The sequence below is a fragment of the Homo sapiens genome, chromosome X (genome assembly GCF_000001405.40).
Source record: "Homo sapiens chromosome X, GRCh38.p14 Primary Assembly".
In the NCBI taxonomy this organism is placed as follows: domain Eukaryota; kingdom Metazoa; phylum Chordata; class Mammalia; order Primates; family Hominidae; genus Homo; species Homo sapiens.
The window spans coordinates 110248554-110269521 of record NC_000023.11 but is presented as its reverse complement, the minus strand read 5'-3'; the positions used below and the strand labels follow the sequence as shown (position 1 = coordinate 110269521).

General features: G+C 35.2%; 1 protein-coding gene across 3 annotated transcripts in view; it reads left to right on the top strand.

Moving 5' to 3' along the window:
- AMMECR1 (AMMECR nuclear protein 1) overlaps nt 1-20968 on the top strand; it is a 246048-nt gene that overhangs the window by 170712 nt on the left and 54368 nt on the right. For 2 of the 3 annotated variants that reach the window (NM_001171689.2, NM_015365.3), the window contains one exon: nt 4923-5033. The exons of the other annotated variant lie outside the window; for it this stretch is intronic. In NM_001171689.2, the coding sequence (NP_001165160.1) occupies nt 4923-5033 (111 nt within the window). The remainder of the gene's footprint in view (nt 1-4922; nt 5034-20968) is intronic. 3 annotated transcript variants of the gene reach the window in all.

The window sequence follows — 20968 nt, the reverse complement described above, 5'->3', positions numbered from 1 at the left end:
AATAACCTTGTTGAGTACCCTATTCTATTAATTATTATAATTATTATTGCATTGGTAGAGATTGATGTAATTTTGTTAATGTTGCCTCCTATAAATCTCATTCTAAAGAATCTTATTCTAAAGAAGAGCAAATTGCCAGAGTCTAAGACTTTTTTGTAACCTCTGTTTTGCCTTGATATGGCAGGAGAGATAGGGTTTAAGGTAAAATATTATTAAGTAAATACACCTTTTTTGTTGTATCACTTAATTGTATTCTGCTCCTGCAAACATATTTCTGATTTGTTCTGGCTCACATCAGTAGATGGGGAGTGCCCTGTTCAGATTTACATTGCTTTTCGTACTTTTGCTGATTGTATGCAACTACATTTCCCTAGAGCTACTGTTGACCTGACAGTATTGGCTGCTAGTTGGCAGGGAGGATTCATCATCTAGATTAGATGGTTACTTCCTGTTCCTGTCTACAGACATGAAAAAATGGAGTGTTTACTTTTCTCCAAAGGTTTCTCAGAAGTAGGAAAATTACTTTAAAAGCTTTGTCTGGTTGCCTTCAGATAAACATTTTCATTAATATTTCATCTCATTTTGAGCCCTCTTCTAGTTTGTAGTATTTTTTCAATGTATGTAGGTGGCCTCAAACCATATGGCAAAAGCATTTCCCAAAACATCCAATCTTTGTCTTACTATGAACTGGTTTTCTGTATTTTTTTTCTCATTGAGCAGCTCCTCTCAACAGGCTCAAAACCCTTTTTCTACTTTGATCTGCCTCTGATTATGCTGATGTATTAGGTCCTTTTTGGAACTCATACATGTTTTAATAGCACATTTAAAAATGAAATTGCCTATTCCTTCCCTCTGTGTTGCGTGAAGAAAAAAATTTGTTCCTATTTTTAGATAATATGTGTTGAATGTTCTCGTAGTCATTGCCCTGTACAACGTGGTTATCACACACAAGATACAATGTCTTGTGCTCAGGGATGTTTATTACGTTTCTGTCTACTTTAAAATGCTTAACTTCCCGGATTCTTATCCCCATTAAATGTTGCTTTTAGGTATTTTAGTTGTTTTTAATTCCATACACGTGTACTTTATAAAATATGTTGGATGAGCATTTGTAATGAGAAATTAGAGTCCCAGATTTTTAATGAATAGTTTTGTTCTGTCTACTAAAAGTCTGACTTCTTCCATCTTCAGGCATCTGTCCTAAACACAGTGAGGTTGTGGAGTAGCACTCCCTCCCATCTTTGACACAGATACTTCCCCGCAATCCCAACTCCCAAAGTGGATGTTGCCTGGGGTAGGTAAGGATCAGGGAGAGTATAGATCATTCTGTATCTGCTCTACGTCTTATGAAGGCTCTTGAGAACACATAGTCCACAGTGCTTCAAATTCAAAGAAATGTTAAATCTGAAAGAGCCCATAGCAAGTTATCAAGACTATCAGACTACTTCCTGTTTCCTGAATGTGCTGTGCACTTTTACATGTCCATGCCCTTGCTTGTTTTGGAGCATCTTTGCTCCTCAGGCTGCCTTGTAAAATGCAGCTTGTCCTCCAGCAACTTAAGCTCTGAATTAATCATTCTGTCATCAGTGATAGCATGGCATTATAAGAAACTATTAATATATAATTTCTCCCATCTTATGTTTGAGTGCCCTACAACGTATTTCATAGTATAGTGTTTAGTTTGTGTTATTTTTCTACTTTAAGTTTTAAATGTTTACTTGAGCAGATAGGGTTATATTATAGTAAGAATGGTGTATGTATATATTTCCTGGGATAAATAAGAAAGTAGAAGGTAAAACACTTAAATGACTTTCATTTCTAGCGTTTTTGATAGGAAATGAATTCACTCACACTTTTAGGTTTCTCATGGAAGTCATTGAGGAAGAGAATATACAACGTAGTTCTGCCTTATTCAGAAACCATCATGGTATTTTAAAAACATGCTATTATCTATATTACATTGTGATTCACTTCATTCTGAAGCTGCCAAAAGACCTGTCTTACATAGAGATACTTTGGATAGCCATTGTTACGGGAGAGGATTGATACATTTCTGTATTTCTGATTTCTTAATTTATGATCATATGCTACTTCTGTGATCAAAAAATAAAGTTTTTTTTTTTTTAAAAAAAAAGAAGAGACAGGATGGCGATCATTAAAAAGTCAGGAAACAACAGCTCCTGGAGAGGATGTGGAGAAATAGGAACGCTTTTACATTGTTGGGAGTGTAAATTAGTTCAACCATTGTGGAAGACAGTGTGGCGATTCCTTAAGGATCTAGAACTAGAAATACCATTTGACCCAGCAATCCCATTACTGGGTATATGCCGAAAAGATTATAAATCATTCTACTATAAAGAGACATGCACACATATGTTTATTGCAGCACTATTCACAATAGCAAAGACTTCAGACCAACCCAAATGTCCATCAATGATAGACTGGATAAAGAAAATATGGCACATATACACCATGGAATACTATGCAGCCATAAAAAGGATGAGTTCATGTCCTTTGCAGGGACATGGATGAAGCTGGAAACCATCATTCTTAGCAAACTAACACAAGAACAGAAAATCAAACACCACATGTTCTCACTCATAAATGGGAGTTGAACAATGAGAACATGTGGACACAGGGAGGGGAACATCACACACCAGGGCCTGTCGGGGAGTTGGGGGCTAGGGGAGAGATAGCATTAGGATAAATACCTAATGTAGGTGATGGATTGATGGGTGCAGCAAACCACCATGGCCCCTGTATACCTAATGTAACAAAACTGTGCGTTCTGCACATGTACCCCAGAACTTAAAGTATAATTTAAAAAAAAAAAAAGAGACAGGCTGGGCACGGTGTCTCACGTCTGTGATCCCAGCACTTTGGGAGGCTCAGGCGGGCAGATCACGAGGTCAGGAGTTTGAGACCAGCCTGACCAACATGGTGAAACCCCGTCTCTACTAAAAATACAAAAATTAGCCAGGCATGGTGGTGCATACCTGTAATCCCAGCTACTTAGGAGGCTGAGGCAGGAGAATTGCTTGAACCCAGGTGACGGAGGTCGCAGTGAGCTGAGATCGCACCACTGCACTCAGCCTGGCAACAGAGCAAGACTCCATCTCAAAACAAAATAAAACAAAAAAATGGTTGCTGATATTGACTATGCCAGATTAGAAACTGAAAAATGAAGAGGTGAATTTCATCCTTAAAGATAAGGTTTAAATTTTAAGATACTGGTATTTATATGAGTAATGAAAGAATTGGTGAGAAAGTAATCCCATCTAATTCTTGTCTTCCTGATCAGTGGTTAGTCAAGAACAATTGGAGAAAAATTCCCAAATGGAGCATTAGAATCTTGGCTCAAGTTATAACAGGTTTATTGCATATGATATAGAAAGCAAAAAAAAAAAAAAACTGGCTTTTACCTTTTGTTTGTTATTTTAATACCTTTAGTGTAGGTCATCCTTCACTTGAATGCTAATGTTGACAGTAACTTGACCTTACACTTAAGTCATCTTTTTGAATGCCACTGGACATTTGGCTCTTGGAAGATGGTAACTCTTAGTACTTCTCCCTGGTTTGTATATATTACTTATTTGGGAACCTATCTGCCATTGTGGCTGTCAGAGCTCAGCATAATTTAAATGTTTAAGGAGGGTGATTGAAGTACTTGAATGAGATATCTTTTCATCTATCTGCTGATGACTCACTAAAGAGTATTTTGAAGAAAGGATGTTCTCCAACTCACCAGTGTATTAGAGGAAAAAAACATATGGTATATCCCCTTAAAATTTAAGTTTTTAGAAAGCAGAAATGCATTATTCCAGTATTACTGTGAATACTTATATTACCATAGACCATCCCCATTGTAAGGTACTTATCTTTTTATAAAATGTCCTAAAATGGGTAAATTATTTCATAAAAACTGGCATACAAAGTTGCTCTAATTAGAACGTAATTGTTTTTAGACTTAACCATTAATTGAGGCTGTCAGTAGTTTGCAGCAGAATCCAAGCATCTACTGTATTAAACTTCATCTAAAACCACGTTATTCTTGATGATATTTTGTTATAATTGATACTTTGTTCTTTGATGCTTGAGAGATTGTATTTGCAGGTAATACTTTTATCTAAAAATTAAGATGAATTTTCTGGTTTCAGAGTATTATTTTGTTAATGTCTGCTGTTGCCCTTCACCTCTCTGAACCCTACTGATTTTTCTAGATCAAGCTAAAGAATGTCAAGCTTGATGAAGTTTTCTTCTATCTCAATAGCTTAAATTATGGCATTTGGACATGGTTTATAGTATCTATTTCCTTTTTCCTTGTATTAGTTAGCTGTGTAATAGTTATGCCTGCCTCTTATACTGGCTCCTAGAGAGCAATGACTGTGTTTTAGGCATCCTTGTAGCACCTTTCACAGTACATATCCCCTATATTTTCAGGAAGTATTTATGAAAACCATTGGTTTTTATCCCGGATTTTCCAAATTAGACTTACAAATAAGTCAGTAATTTGAGGTTTAAATGAGTAATTACACAGTTAGCCATAATGGTTAAGGCTCTATAGTTAAGATTGCCCAGGTTTGAGTGCCTGCTTCATTATGTATCAACTGTGAGACTCCCTCATCTGTAAATAGGAATGTTAGTATCAGCCTCCTAGAATTGTTGATGAAGACTAACATAATTAGTTTGTTTAAAACATTTATTGAGATAGCAAACATATAGGATACACTCAATATAATGTAGTAGTAGTATAATATAACTTTTGCTAAATGTAGTCCTATTGGGCTGGCCTGTGAGCCCCTTGAAGGCCTGTCTTTTGGTCTTTATATCTCAGGCACCTAACCTAGCAGACAGTCAATACTCAATAAATACTTGCTTGAATTGAATTGATTTATTTACCCTATTTTTATCTTCCATTACAGCCCACTGTTTGTAACATGGAAGATTGGTCGAGACAAAAGATTACGTGGATGCATAGGTACTTTTTCTGCCATGAATTTGCATTCAGGACTCAGGGAGTACACACTTACCAGGTGAAGACCAATTTTTGTTACCTCTGCTTTTACATTAAAAAAAAAAACTTATGAAACTTGAATCTGATACTTTAACTCCTTTTACTGAATTGTCAACGTTCTTGTCTTCCTTCATGTCAGGTTTTTCCTTTGTCTTTAACCATTTACCTTTTCTCTGGTAAAATGTTATTGATATATATTACCATAATATAAAATACTGTGATTAATGTATTCTGCCATCGATGTTTTGAAGTGTTTTTTTTTTCTTCCAGTGGCCAGCTTATTTTGTATAACTTGAAAACCAATGACCAAATGTCCACGGGTTACCAAAATATGTGATTTCTATAGTAACAGTCATTATTTCTTCCCTCTTGTGTTTTTTAAAAATAGTTGTTGTCTCTTTCATCTTACACATTTTGTTACACTTTTAAGGACTTTTGAAATTGAAAGGAGAGCCTAGGAAGAAAGTGATGCCACAGCCTAGCAGTATAATCATTCACATTCACACTTCACCCAGAATTAATTGTAGCTTGCTTATTTTCTTTTATCTAATAAAAGGACAAAGTAATTCCTCATTACAGTTGTTTAAAACTTTGTTCTTAATTTCTGAATTCACAAAAAGCTATCTAGCACACAATGTGAATTTTTTGGTTCAAGTTTAGATTTCAAGCAAATTGTGACCCAAAATTATTTCAAAAGAAGAAAATTCCTTAAATAATAAGCTATTAGTAAAGGAATTTCCTGTTTTTGTTCACATTTTAGGGTGATTATCTGATACAGTTTCTATAGTTGTAATATGCACAGTGTCTGTCCAACAAGAAATTGCTCCCTGCTGACTATTGGTACTTGGGGCATGTTTCTCAACCTCCATAGGTAAAATAGTAATTACAGTATTTTGTTCTATATACTTAATAGAGGTGTTAGGAGAATGAAGTAATAATCACTATTTTACTTCAGGATTAATGTGGAACATTATTTTACTGTAGAACTGCATAAATGCAGGCTCATAGCACCAGTTAATAAAATACTGTAACTGAGTTTGGTATTCTCATATTTGAAGGTATGCAGTAGCTCACAGCTGCAGGGTTTTCTCAGCTTACAGTGAAGCCCAGAAAAAAAACCAATGGCTTGGGGGATCATATTCATTTTTTAGCTTTTCACAGGTATAAGAAACTGGGTGTTTGGATTTGATTAAATAACATACAGGCTGTAAGGGTTGAAACACATATTCTGGAAATAAATTCAACTTGTTAAAGATAATATAAGTACTAGTCTAGGCATGTTAGATTTTTTTTTTCTGACATAAAATACAATGGGCTCATTTTTGGGACTTCAGCAAATTCTGCCAATGGCTACCTTTTTGGGACAGGTACATATTAAATTACACATTTAATACTAATCAATGGCAATTTATTGTACATTTCCCAAAATAAGTTGTTATGAGGAACACTGGTTCCTTTGCGCTACCTGAAGAAAAGAATTCTGTGACCAAATAAGTTTGGGAAACACTGGTTAAAAAATGTAAACAACTCTGCTCACTGTAGGACTTCTCAGAACCTTTTATGTTAATAGTGTTATGTATATCTAAGAGAGAGAAATAGAATGTAGCATTTTCCAGGCTTATTTGACTACAGGACCCTTTTATCCTCCCACCCCAAAGTCTGAGTGTTCCAAGGAAAACATTTTTGGAAACACAAGTCTGTTTTCAAAACAGAATATTACTTTATATTTGGGTAGTAAGAGTTGGTATTATAGAAACCCTTTGTGCTTTCTAGTGAAATTGTAGCAGAAATCCCATTATCAAACATTATATACCTTAGAAATCTTTCGTAGTGGTCATTGTGGTAGCAATTGGGTTTTGTTTAAAGAAAAAAATAAATTCTTTTGCCAATGTTGGCAAGGGGTGAAAACATCCAACTTTTCTGGACTTGTCCATTTATATCCTAGGGTAATGACCAGAAGAATTACAGTATAATTTTCTGACAATAATGTGATTCTGAATGAATTGTTCAAATACTTGAAGTTGGAAATTTGCCTACATTTGTATACCTTGTTACCCTCATTGCAATCTATAGCTCTTCCTGTTTACTTTTCATCTTTTTTCTCATGTTTCTATACAGCTTCCTCAAATTGTATATATCACATTAAAGAGGCGTGTGTGTGTGCGTGTGTATACATATGTTTGTGTGTGTATACACACATGCACATACCTGGTTTTACTTCTCATTTTTGTTTGGCTTAATTTCTTTTGTATAACAAGATATTAACAATCATACTATTTGGAAAAGATGAACAAAAGAAAACAAGTCTTACAAAATACAATTAATCTTTTTTCCTGGATTCATTTTAGCATCAAAAGTTGTAAGGAGTCATTTTTAAAAGTTGGAATATAATATTTTTCTGTTCAGTAGTGTGCTTATCATTTTTACGTATTATGTTATTATGATTATTTTTGTTAATGGCTGCCATTTATTAAGAATTTACTATGTCAGACATTGTTGAGGAGCTTTACATGCATAGTCCTTGTAATAACCCTTAGGTACTAATATCTACATTTTCAAAATGAGGAAACTGAGAATTAGGTAATTTAAATAATTTACCCACTCACACATCTATTAAGTGATAGAACCAGGATTCAAACCCAGAGCATGTGTCTACAAAATCCATCCCCTAACCGAGGCAAAATTTTCTGATTATTTATGTTTTGCAGCTTTGTCATGAAAATAATGAACTTGAAAGCAAGTTACTATAAATTTTATAAATCATAGATCAGTAATCCTTCAAAAATTCTAGTTAGGAGTTAAGACTGAAATTTTGCAACAGGAAAATCCATAGATATTATTATGGAAAGTATACAACTCAGAGTTGTATAGAGCAGACAGAAGAAAATTGACTTGAACTAATATTGTATTAAGGATAAAGCTTATTACAAAACAATACTACTGTAGGATAGGAAATTGTATTCTTTGGCTACATGGACTAGACTTTAAGAATACAATTTTTTTTGAACATAAAAATTGGTGATTCTTGGCTTCTGGTCATCCCACCTTAAAAACCCATAACTCACAAAATGAATAAATAGAATTAAATGAACTTAGGGGATAGGGGCATAAAGGAGGGAGAAAGCAAAACAAAAAACAAAATAAAACAAAACAAAAAATAAGCAGTGAAATTAAAGGCATTCTAGGTATAGGCATCTTTTTAAAAATTCAAATATCCGGTTCATCTGTGATTAGATAGACTATTGTTTGATTTTCAGAATGTTACTCAATTATATCTCTTCTTTTTTTTTATTGTGGGGAAATATATGTAACATAAAATTTACCATTTTAACCATTTTTAAATGTATAGTCCTGTGGCCTTAAGCGCAATCATGTTGTTGTACAGTCATCACCACCATCCATCTCCAGAACGTTTTTCATCTTCCCCAACTGAAACTCTACCCATTAAACATGAACTCCACATTCTTCCTCCTCCAGGCCCTGGCAACCACCATTCTACTTTGCGTTGCTATGAATTTGACTACTCTAGGTACCTCGTATCAGTGGAATCATATGATATTTGTCATTTTGTGACTAGCTTATTTCACTTAGCATAATGTCTTCAAGGTTCATCCATGTGGTAGCGTGTGTCAATTTACCTTCTTTTTAAGGCAGAATATATTCCATTGTATGTATATACCACATTCTGTTTATCCTTTCATCCATTGGTGGACGTTTGGGTGGGTGGCTTCTACCTTTTGGCTGTTGTGAATAATGCTGCGATGAACATAGGTGCACAAAATATCTGTTTGAGTACCCTTTTTCCTCTTAAAAGTGAACCAGTTTATAGAAGACAATGATCTAGCTTGTGTGTAGTCCCTTAACTCTAAAACCTTTCTTAAAAATATGACCAGATATTTTTTAAAATGAAATGCCTATCCTGAATTAAGTTTTTATTTATAAATAAAATTATAAACTTTTAATTTTAATAAAATTATTTAAACTTTTAGAATTAAAGTACTTGTCATAGTCAAGTTGTATGTTCAAATATGACCGGGTATTTTTTAAATGAAATGCCTATCCTGAATTAAGTTTTTTAAATATATATATAAACATAATCTTTTAAATGTAAAGTACTTGTCAAAGTCAAGTCATATGTTCTCCTAATTGAAATTTTGATTTTAGATTGAAATAAAATCTTATAAAGAGGCTGAGGATTTCTTCTCAATTGTGAAAATACATAGTATTTGTGTAGGTAATGAAAAGTTTATGAGAAGTACATGGAACTATTATAAATAGACTATTCTTTGTCTGACCTTGAAGGATCTGGGTAAAAGCAGGAAAGATTATAGAAAATACGAAGCAGGATGGAGAGCTCAGAATTATTGATAAAAGTCTATCCATAGAATTTGGTGATAAAGTCCACAAATTACCCTATTTATCATTGCTCAAGACTTCAAAGTAGAAATATTCTTTGTCCGAGCTGAAGGAGATAATTTCCAGTATTGTGTTTATGGCTTTTATATATTAGAAAGCAGAGGCAGATTCATTTCCCCAATTTTAGTACTTAGAAAACATACTTTTATAGAGAGGAAAATTACCACTAATATAGATGAATATAAACATCTCAGTCAAAAAAGATTCCTGGCCGGGCGCGGTGGCTCACGCCTGTAATCCCAGTAATCCCAGGCCAGCGGATCACGAGGTCAGGAGATCGAGACCATCCTGGCTAACACGGTGAAACTCCGTCTCTACTAAAAATACAAAAAATTAGCCGGGCGTGGTGGCGGGTGCCTGTAGTCCCAGCTACTCGGGAGGCTGAGGCAGGAGAATGGCATGAACCCGGGAGGCAGAGCTTGCAGTGAGCCAAGATTGCGCCACTGCACTCCAGCCTGGGTGACAGAGCGAGACTCCATCTCTTAAAAAAAAAAAAAAAAGAAAAAGAAAGTTTCCTTAAAATTTTGGCTAATAAATTTCCCAGCAAAATGCAGATCTATTTCTTTATGTAAATTCAAGTTGGCAGTAATTTTTCTAGAACACATTAAGTAATTAATAGATGTATTCTTATTCAGCAAAACAGGATTGTGGTCTGTCACCACACTTAAAAGACTATCTTTTTTTCTCCTTTGTTGTACTTAGACCTCTCGGCAGTGAAATAATTATGCAGGTGCTGGCAGTTCTAGAACTTGATTGTGAACTATGCCACTTTTGTTGAACTACTTAATTCTAAGAAATTAGCAATGAAAGTTTAGCCCTTTCTAGGGAACAGTATGACCACATAAAAGGTGATGTGCTGTGTTTTGTTTTGGAGTTTTATTTTGTTCTGTGTGGGTTAGTGGGGTTGTGTGTCAGGGGAGTTTGAGGGGGGATTGATTGCTTGCATGGTACAAATATTCACTTTCCATTAGATTTTTTGAGATACTGAAAATAGCTAACAAACCTACTTTATTACTTTCAAAGGTCCTAGCTAGATTGGGTACTTATGGGATTCATTGTAAACTGAATTTGCTTTTATATTTTGGTGTTGTAATCTGGCATTTTTCTAAAGCAGTATGAGTTTAAAGCCATTATAAGCAGCATAATATTTTCCCTGTCATAGTAGACCATCGTGTGATCATTTTTATTCTTGATTATTTGGGTAACCACTCTAGGCTCATTGTGAACACTTAGATTAAACAAGTTCCTCCTCCCTCTCATTTAATATTAGTCTTTATGGTAGCATCACCCAGATTGATTTTTCTTATGAAAAGAAAAGCTGTATGAATCACCTCTGACTGTACATTATTGTTATGGAAGCTCATTCTGGAGATGTTAAGGCCAAACAATTTTTGGCAAGTGGTTGTGGCAAGACTTCTGGCTAAAGTATGCATTTTGGGGAAATAAATTAGATGTATCACAAACAATGCAAAATTAATTAGTTTAATTTACAACCTACATTTTTTGCCTTTTTATAAAAGAGATGATGGCCTGAGTCCTAAAACTTATACCTAATTTGATAGTTTCAGTTTATTAATTACAAAATGAGAAACATTTGTCAGATTTTATAGGCACTTAATTTAAGGTACAGTTTGGAACCTAGGTTGTTGTACGCTCTTTACTCAAAATTATCCACATGAAGCATGGTGAACTATCTGCTCAAACTGGAATCCTCATTTTAGCCATGAGGTTAATGCACTCCTTCGTTATCCCAAGGTTGTGCTAATGTGCAGAGATGTAGCCACAAAATTCCCAGCAGAATGTGGAAACTAAGCAGCAGGAACCATTTGCAGAATGGGTAATGGCTCCTGAATTGTAGAGAATTGTCTGAATTCATATAGCACCTACTGCCACAGAAATTAAGTGTAGTGAGTATATCAGATTCTAATTCCTTATCACATCATTTAGATCTTTAGAGTTTCCAGTTGGAATCTCCCTGCTGCTTTGATTAAGAGCCACAGGCAAAATGCCTGGGGCAGAAAAGGCCATCTGTGAAAAGGTAGTGTTGAGAGAAGCTGAAAATGGGCTTTTTCAGCACCAGGGCTCTTGGTTCTTAAGTTTGATAGGGAGAGAGTGAACTATAAGAAATTTACCCTATTTTTACATCTATCTGTAAAGTTTAATACCTCTCTGGTCCTTCGAGGCTGTTTCCCCTTTTAATCATGTTTAAACAGTTCATCCTGCAAATCTTGTCTTAATTTTGCCTTAGGAGTTTATGATATATTAGGAGAGATAAGAAGTTATCGAAATAATTGTAGTCCTAGGTAGAAAGCAGTTTTTCTCAAGAAGCAGAGGACGTGATACTGGATGATTACTACTCTATATCTGTTATAAAAGCTAAAATGTATTTAAAGGTATCTATAAATTATTTTATTTGGTTCATCCCTAGTTCACTTTTTATAAAAGCAAAACAGTATGTACCACTTTCTGGCTTGTTTTTATCCTACATGGTCCAAAAAGGTCAAAATTATAGGGATGCGTGTAAATCATTATTATCAAAGCAACCATATACAAGGTGTTGGGTATTTATATTTTAAGAAATTTGTAATACATATTTTAAAGGGGAAAATGATCTTGTCATAGAAGAAAAAGCCTTTGAAATAGAGGACTCTTAAGAGTGTGCATGCACATGCACACATACACAGGGAGTTTACCAAACATTAGCTAGAACCAAGTTGGATTATAGCTCTGATGCTTGGCAAATGAAGAAAATTAAAAGTTATAGTTTAGATTTCACTTTCCTCTTGTCTTGTTAAAGTGAATTCATATTTTGTTTTAGTACAGTAAACTGATATCTGTCTCCTTTCCTGAGAGTCATTGTCTGCGATAGTCTTCATTTTTTCAGATGAATGACTGAAATGGTAAAGCTAAGTTAGAACACAAATATTGTATGAAATTATTACATTGGATGTGGCCTAAAATTATACTATAGACATTAAAAATATATTTCTTTTGTCTGAATATTTACATAATAAATGTTGGGCTTACTTATAAGTGTCTAAAGTATTTGAGTCATTAGGACCTGAATGAACAGGAGGACAGATTTGTATCTTAGTGTTCTGGAAGAATAAGATGGTTATGCTTTGATGTAACTAAAGGTGATTATCATGCAAATCCTATGCTTTTACCACTTTTAAGGGGACAATGTTAGGAATTTGAGTACTTTAAAATAATTGAAAGTTGAGGTTTTGGTGTAGCAATTGAATATTAAAATTTTAGTTATGATCTTATGAGCATGAGAAATACTTTTTAAAAGTAGAAGGCAAAAGAAATGAAGCCCTTCTCTGTGATCTTTCCCATTCTCTCAAACTTCAAACTGCCTTAAATGTGGTTATCCAAAGTAGTAGTCCTTGGAAAAAACTTACTTTTCATCATTGATAACAATTTGTTGATCTTTAAATGCTAAACACTTATTGCATCGTAAGTCCTTTATCTTGCATCATAAATATATTTTTCTTAGAAACAACTCTAGTTTTTCTTACATTCTCTCTCAATTTTTAAATAAAGAGCAAACTTTCAACATAAAAGTCCTGTCCTAAAGAACTACATTATCTGATCTACTTCTTGTTAACAAAAGAAATAAATATATCTATATTTATATAACAAAATAGACATGGACAAATTGTAACATTTAAAAAATTTTCTATTGGAATAGAATATCATAGATGCTAGGAAATTCTAAAGATGGAAAACAATATAGTCATGTACCGCATAATGACGTTTTGGTCAACAGTGGACTGCATATACAACAGTGGTCCCATAAGATTATAATACTTTAATTTTACTCTATCATTTCTATGTTTAGATGCACAAATACTTAACGATTGTGTTACAGTTGCCTACATTATGCAGTATAGTAACATGCTGTACAGCTTTGTAGCCTAGGAGCAATAGGCTATATCATATAGCCTAGGTACGTTGTAGACTATACCATCTATGTTTGTGTAAATACACTCTATGACGTTCACACAACAATGAAATTGTTTAATGATGCATTTCTCAGAATGAATCCCCACCATTAAGCAATACCTGACTGTATTTAATACATTCTTTTGAGAATGAAGCTCTAATTATTGTTAATATCAAATATGCAGTGTACTTTTCAGTATATTTAAAATCTGAAAGTGAAGAAAATACATTTGGATTCATAAGGTACAGATTTACACTTGGTGTGATGTTCAGAAAACTCATTTTTGTTAATTTTACTTCAGCTCAAAAAATTATCCTGTAAATCTACATATGGAAACTATAGACTTATTCAGATTAGATTAGCATGTTATTGTCTCCATTTTTAACACTCTGTTTTTTTTATTTCTACATGGAAATGCTAACTTTTGTATCCTTCCTAGTAGTGAAAGAGAAAGTTAGAAAAGGCCATAAAATAAATTCTTCAGAAGCTTTAATTAAAGGGATTGCCCAGAACTCAACTTCTTGTTGCTATACCCAACTACCTTCAGGACTACTTTGTATGTTCTACAAAGCTGATTTAAAAGGTTCCAACTGCAGTCACTTCACTGAGGATGGCAGGAAAGAGAATCTCTTAAGTTCTGCAGGCTGCTTTTAACCTAAACCATTCTTCTAAGATGACCATTACTTGCCTCCTAGCTAAGCCTGGAGAAGTATTTTAAGCCTTTGAAATGAGTGGAGCTGTGTTGCATATGAAGAACAGTAAACAACTGTACACTGCTGGTTAGACTTGTACTGCTAATGAGATCATGGGTTCAATCCCTATTTGGACCATATTTTTAGACAATAGCTACCACTAGATCCCAGGCGTTGATTACAGTGGGGCTCAGACAGAGCACGTGGGCGAATCAGTACCAAACCCAAGTTTTAGCATCATTTCAGCATATGAAACGTGCTACATTAAAAGTACCCAAAACAATGTGGTCTTAAAATGTGATATACACAAACCCTTTGAAAGTAGCAAGACAGACATGCCCTTTTTCTAAAATTGACAAATCCCGAAGAGGAAGAAAAGAGTTGGGACAATAAAACACTGGTTCTGGAATCTGGAATGTTGCTTTAAGTCCAGGCCAGCAGTGACAAAAGTTATTGTAATGACCTCTGAACAGACAGACACTGCCATTGAGCAGGCCTCTGGTATAGAAAACATGGTACATTTGGGAGTTGTGAATATAGCTCCAGGTGTGCTCCTAAATCAGTTCACAGTAGATTATGCTTAACAACATTGAGATGTTATTGGAGGTGTGGATGAGGAAGTTTGTTGTTGCAGTCCTTTTTTGCACCTTATTTTAAAGAATAAATGAAACATTTTTCTAATTCCCTTTTAAAAAATTTTAAATGGAAGGGAAGTTTACTTCTGATGCTTCAGTGTTGTAAGTTCAACATATAGACTGTCAACCTAAATTCATGGTATAACACAGTTCTTTTCTTTTTTCTTTCTTTTTTTTTGTATCTGTTCAATGAAAATAAGGTACAACCCAGGTTTTTACATAGTCTGACTAGAAGTATTCCACTTCAAGATCTGAGAGTAGCATTTTCTCAAACTTTCACCTTAAAAAACAACATCACTAAACAAAAACTATCACACAGAATGGATAAGAAGTTTTGTAGATCTTTTTGGTGATGAACTATGACATGAGCCTTATAGATTGTAAAATATAGTTGAAACTAATGTACATAATGAAAATTTTTAAATTTTATTTGCTGTTAAATTCTGTGAAATTTCAGTTATTTAAAATAAACATGCAAAAATATGAAATGTAATGTTTCAGATTGCAAGGTAATATGTAATATGTTTGTAAGATACTCTGGTCTAATACTAACTAGTAGTATTTGGATTTGTACAGTCATAATTCATTAAAATGACTTCATTTTAACATGTACCGATGTAGACTAATATTGTAAGTTCTGATTTAAAGAATGGTGACAAAATGGCGCATGTAATACTTTTGCAAGTGTTGGGGAGGTCGGTATGTTTTGAAAAGAGTAATTTAACTTTTGGGTGCTAGGAAATGGGTTATCTCAAAGACCATTGCTGGCAATGGGCAGGCCTGGTAATACTGGCACAGAGCATTAATCATACACCTTATTAACGGTGAGGTGAATAACTTTGAAATAAAGTTTTAGGGAAGAAAAGAGACTACCCAAAACTTAGCTATCTCATGAACAGTTGATACTAATTATAATAATAATTGCTTTGAATCTAAAAGAAAAAAGAATATTTTTAGATGTTAATTTTTCTTCACAAACTCTTTGAAGAGTGTCAATGTGACATTAGAGAAAAGGTCTTTGGAGTGGCAGTAGAACTGACAACACAGGTTGGACTTCAGCAGGCCTGAAAATGGTATGGCCAAAAGGGGAGATTTCTTTCTGCCTCTAATAAAGAGTAGTGGCTAGGAATAGGAGTCATCTCAGATGATACTGGATTTCAGCTGAAGCAACTCTTAAATATTTCAGTGGTAAAAGGATGACTATGTTAAATTCATGGGTTTGTAAATACATGTTATAAAATGTAATTGTTCTTTTTAAAAGCACATATTTTTTTAAAAGCCTACATTTTAAAGTTGTCATCTATTGTGTATTGAGATGTTCCTGTGCCTCACAGATCAGCTCACTAAGGTGTGGTAGCTATTGTCTAAAAATATGTACCCTCTCATACTGTTGCAGCTTCCTCTTCATAGGCTTTATTATTGCCCAGAGCAGCACATTTACCCCATTAGCCAAAATGGCACAAACAACGCCCATTGGCATGACTGAACTCTCCTTAGTTGGTGTCAATCCTTATATCTGAGATAAGAAGCTTTCCTGTGTCTACCTTTCTCACCTAGAGTAAAAGCCAAAGTATTTAAAAAACATATATTTCACTCAGAGTAAAGTTAATGTTCTGCAATGAATGCCACCATGCTCAGCTTGCCCCTCTCACCTCATCTCCTACTCCCCTCTTCCCACCTCCATTCATTCTCTTGGCCTTAGCTAGGCTGGTTTCCTTGTTTCCCTTTGAACACACCAAGCATGGTCCCCGCCAGGGGCTTTGCACTTGAATTTTCTTTACTTGCAACAGTCTTCTACTAGATAGACATGTAGCTTGGCTTCCTCACGCCCTTCAGGTCTCTATTCAAATGATGCCATTATCATTGACACGTATGTAAAATAGCAAGGCCTACATTTGATATCTGGCTCTCCCTGCCCGTTTACCCTGCTTCATTTTTCTCCGTAGCACTTATCACCACCTGGCATACTGTAAATTTACTTGTATATTTGTGAGTCTTTCTTAATGCGAATGTAAATTCCATGAGGGCAAGGACTGCTGTAATATTCCTCAAAGCCTACAACAGTACGTGGTACATAGTAGGCATTCAGAAAATATTAGTTGAATAAATAAAAGTCTTGTTTTTATCAGCATTTAGAAATTGTGGATTATAAAGTATAATTCTTTGTCTTACTACTTTACCTAGATGTGAAATTATTTGGTCTTATTGTGGCTAGTTTCTTATAGTTTTCATTGAGTGCATATTGAATGTATTTTTTGTGTGTGTGAGTGGTTTGACATTAAAATTCTCTTTTAAAACTCATTTTATCATGAACACTTTTAAATACTCGCAAAAATAGACTATTATAATGATGCAGTCATTTTTATAATAGTGATTTTTTTTCTCTTTTCTTTTTGTGGGGAACAGCGTCTCACTATGTTACCCAGGCTAGTCATGAACTCCTGGGCTCAAACAATCCTCCAGCCTCTGCTTCCCTAAGTGTTGGGATTACAGGTGTGAGCCACCATACCTGGCTGCTTTTTCATTTTACTTATTTTTATTTTAATACTTGCTTTTTAAGTACAGAGGCAGTATGAGGTTGTAGAAAGAGGTAGCCATATCTGGGTTCTAGTTGTGAATCCCTCAATTCTTAGCTTTGTGACCCAAGGGAAGCTACTGAATTTCTGCCATGTCTTGGTTTTCTCATCTGTAAAATGGGTATAATTCTAAACTGGTAAGTTTGTTGTGAGGATTAGGATATATATGTATATGAAGTATCTTATACATACTAGGTACGTAGTAAATATTTATATTGTAGTACATGCATAGTAAATATTTATATTTCTGCTTCAGGAAGAAATTAAGTAGTGAGAATGGCCAAGAAATGAAATTTTAAATATATTTATAGCAATTTCAGTTTTTCTTTTTCTCTTGGACACATGTAGGTAGGCAGGAATTTTCATAATATGAGAAGAAACAAGCATTATCAGTAAATAAACCAGTGACCCCATAATCAGTCACCATCACATTTCTGTTTATGTAATTCTTTAAAAAATACACACATACATGTAACTGATCATTGAGCAAAACGCTATCAGTCTATATTTCCTGTTGGTTCTGCCCCACAGATATCTCTTGAATCCACCCCATCCTCTTCAGCCTCACTGCCACTGCCTTTGTCTGGGTTCTTATTCTGGCTCACTGGTTTCCCTGCTTCCCTTTGAAGCCATTGTACACCAATCACCAGAATTATCTTTGTTGACAAAAATCTATCTCACTCTCCTTAAAACAGTGCCTGTTATTCCTTATCACCAGAGAGGAAAACCCATTTTTATTAAGAAGCATAGTACTTGAGGACCTAACCTCACACTCCAGCCATGCACACAATTATTCACCACTTCCCAAATATATTCTTTCATGTCTCTCTGGCTTCACATTTTTTTCTTTGCCTCTCCCCATTTCCACCCAGTCAACTCCTACTTATCCTTCAAGACTCAGCTTGCTCATTGCTTCCTCTGTGAGATTTCCTTGACAGTCCCCAGGAAAATTGGTCAGTCTCTTTTAGGCCTCTATTATAACACTTAACACACTGGATTATAATTATTAATTTTATGTTTGTCTCTCCCTTTTGAAATTGCGCTCCACAGTAGTTTACCAAGCAACATCAAAGCAAACTAACAAAAACCAGTCTCATTGCTTTGTAGCAACTTTGCTTGATCCTGATAACCATTCTACTCTCTTTCTTTTCTGTTTGCATATGTTAGCTTATATCTGTCACCTCTTCTTGCTGCCAGCATACTTGAGCCAGTAAGAGTTACCAGTGTTGATTGATAGTGCAAAGGGTGGCTTAAGGCCACTTGGAATTAGACTGAGCCAGAGGACAGGGATCTTTATACAGAACACTTTAGAAAACAAATTGACATGAGGTTGATCTCATTATAAGTGACTGAAGATGCACTATGTGAATTGATTCCTGCCATGGAACCATAGACCTAGAAGAGATTCTTTTAAGTCATCTAGTCCAACCCCTATCAGATACTTTAATCTCTCTTAAAAATCTCCTGAGTAATGGGCATCTAGCTTCTATCTGAACATCTCTGTAGACTTGGAAGTCACTTCCAGTTAAGTAGCCCATTTCATTTCAAACACCTCTGAACTCTACTCCCATAACTTCAGTTACCACATAGTTTTAGTCGAAGTGCTAGAAGTCAAAGATTGCCTGCAATTAGCACTTTATTCTTTATAGAAAGCTGCATTAACCAGCAGTGGTTAAACTTAACCCTCCGAGTAATATCTGAATTATCTGAGTCTTTAGGAGTTTAGGAGTAGTAAGATAACACAGCTTTACAATTGAGTCTCATCCACCCACCCATACAAATTTTAACTCTTCCCTTATTGTTGAAACCTTTGAAGCTACTGCTGCCACAATATCTCTCACAGTCTACCTTAGACTTCTGGAGTTGGCTGAACCCTAGAGCCCAGAGATTCCAAGATAGACCTGGTGCTAGATCTTTTAGTGATCCCAACAATGTCACAGAGTTGGAACTAGAGTTAGAACACAGGTCTCCTGACATTGCCTTGGACTATCATTACAAATTCCAGAATAGAAAGTACCCATATTATATGTGACTTGATGCTTAAAAAATGAAAAAGTACCCATAAAAGTATATGAATTTGTTAATTTTAGTTAAGAAGCATACAATTTCAAGGAACCCTGTAATGAAATGATCATTTTGTAATGTAAAGATTTATTCTTGAGTTATCTGCCTTGTGTCAAGTTTAGGCATACTTCCATAAAATGAACAATACCCTTAGAACTATTCAACTGCAGGAGTAACAATATCAGAGTTAGAGAATCTCAAAGCAAAACCTTAGATTTCCCCTTTCCTTTCCTTTCCCTTTCCGTTTCCCTCTCCCCTTTCCCCTTTCCTTTCCTTTCTTTCCGAGTCTCGCTCTGTCACCAGGCTGGAGTGCAGTGGCATGATCTCAGCTCACTGCAACCTCTGCCTCCCAGGTTCAAGCGATTCTTCCGCCTCAGCCTCCCAAGTAGCTGGGACTGCAGGCATGCGCCACCATGCCCAGCTAATTTTTGTATTTTCAGTGGAGACGGGGTTTCACAATGTTGGCCAGGATAGTCTCGATCTCTTGACCTCGTGATCTGCCCACCTTGGCCTCCCAAAGTGCTGGGATTACAGGTGTGAGCCACCGCACCCAGCCAGATTTCCCTTTTCTTTAAACATATCTCTGCTTGTTATGTGTCCCAATCATACTTGTAACTTCTGTTTTGTGTGTGTGTGCTGGAACTCTCGTAGGTATTTTATATAAGTTACCTCATCTAATATTTCCAACAACCTTATGAAGGTGAAAGTATTTCACTTATATTGCAGTTAGGGAAAACAAGGTCTTAGATGGTTAAGTAATTTGCTGAATGACAGCTAATAATAACCTGATTCTATCTAATTCCAAAGCCTGTGCTCCCAACCACTGTGCGATACTGCTTCCTTCCAGTAATATCACTCCCCCTTCCCTGGTGAAAGCTTCTTATGGACATTTGTTTCACTGACTCAACAGGTATTCCCTGGTGTCCACTTACAGAAAAAAAAAAAATCACTGAATAACCTTTCTCTTCATTTGGGAACTCAGTTTCTTAACTCAGTTTTCCAAAATCTCCCTTATACCCCTAGTCCATTAATTCCAGTCTCAACTTCTCTTGGGTTCTCTTTCCTTTTAGAATCTTGAGGCACTGTCTCCCTTAATATGACTTTTTTCTTCACAGCTATCCTCCCAGTTCAGTTTGGTATTCTGAACTTCCATAGTCCCATCAGAATTTACCACCTTCTCAGGGATACATACTCCCCAAACTGATTTCTTTCTACATTTGATCTTAGCCAAAAGGCCAAGAAGTGATTGATCTCTTTCTGTACAACATTTGCACTTAATATCAGTACATTTACATGGAATACTAGTTTAGCCCTTAGATTCTAGCCAGACACAACTCTCTGAAATCCACTGCTGACTAGAGAGCCTCGGGGGAAGGATTCACCATAAAGGAACTGTGAATAAAAGTCCTGACTCAGCTATTCTCTTCAACTGGCCAAAAGGTAGACATTTAGGAGTTAAGAAGTGAGACAGTTCCTTAGAAATTATAATTAAGGAAACAAATTCCAAGTTTCTAAGTAATTAAGACCAAATATATTGTCTTAGTTTTAATTTTTGCAATTTGAAGTTCCTTAGGAGCAGTTTTTGATAGAACAAATGATCATAAAACAGTTAGATAAGTGGC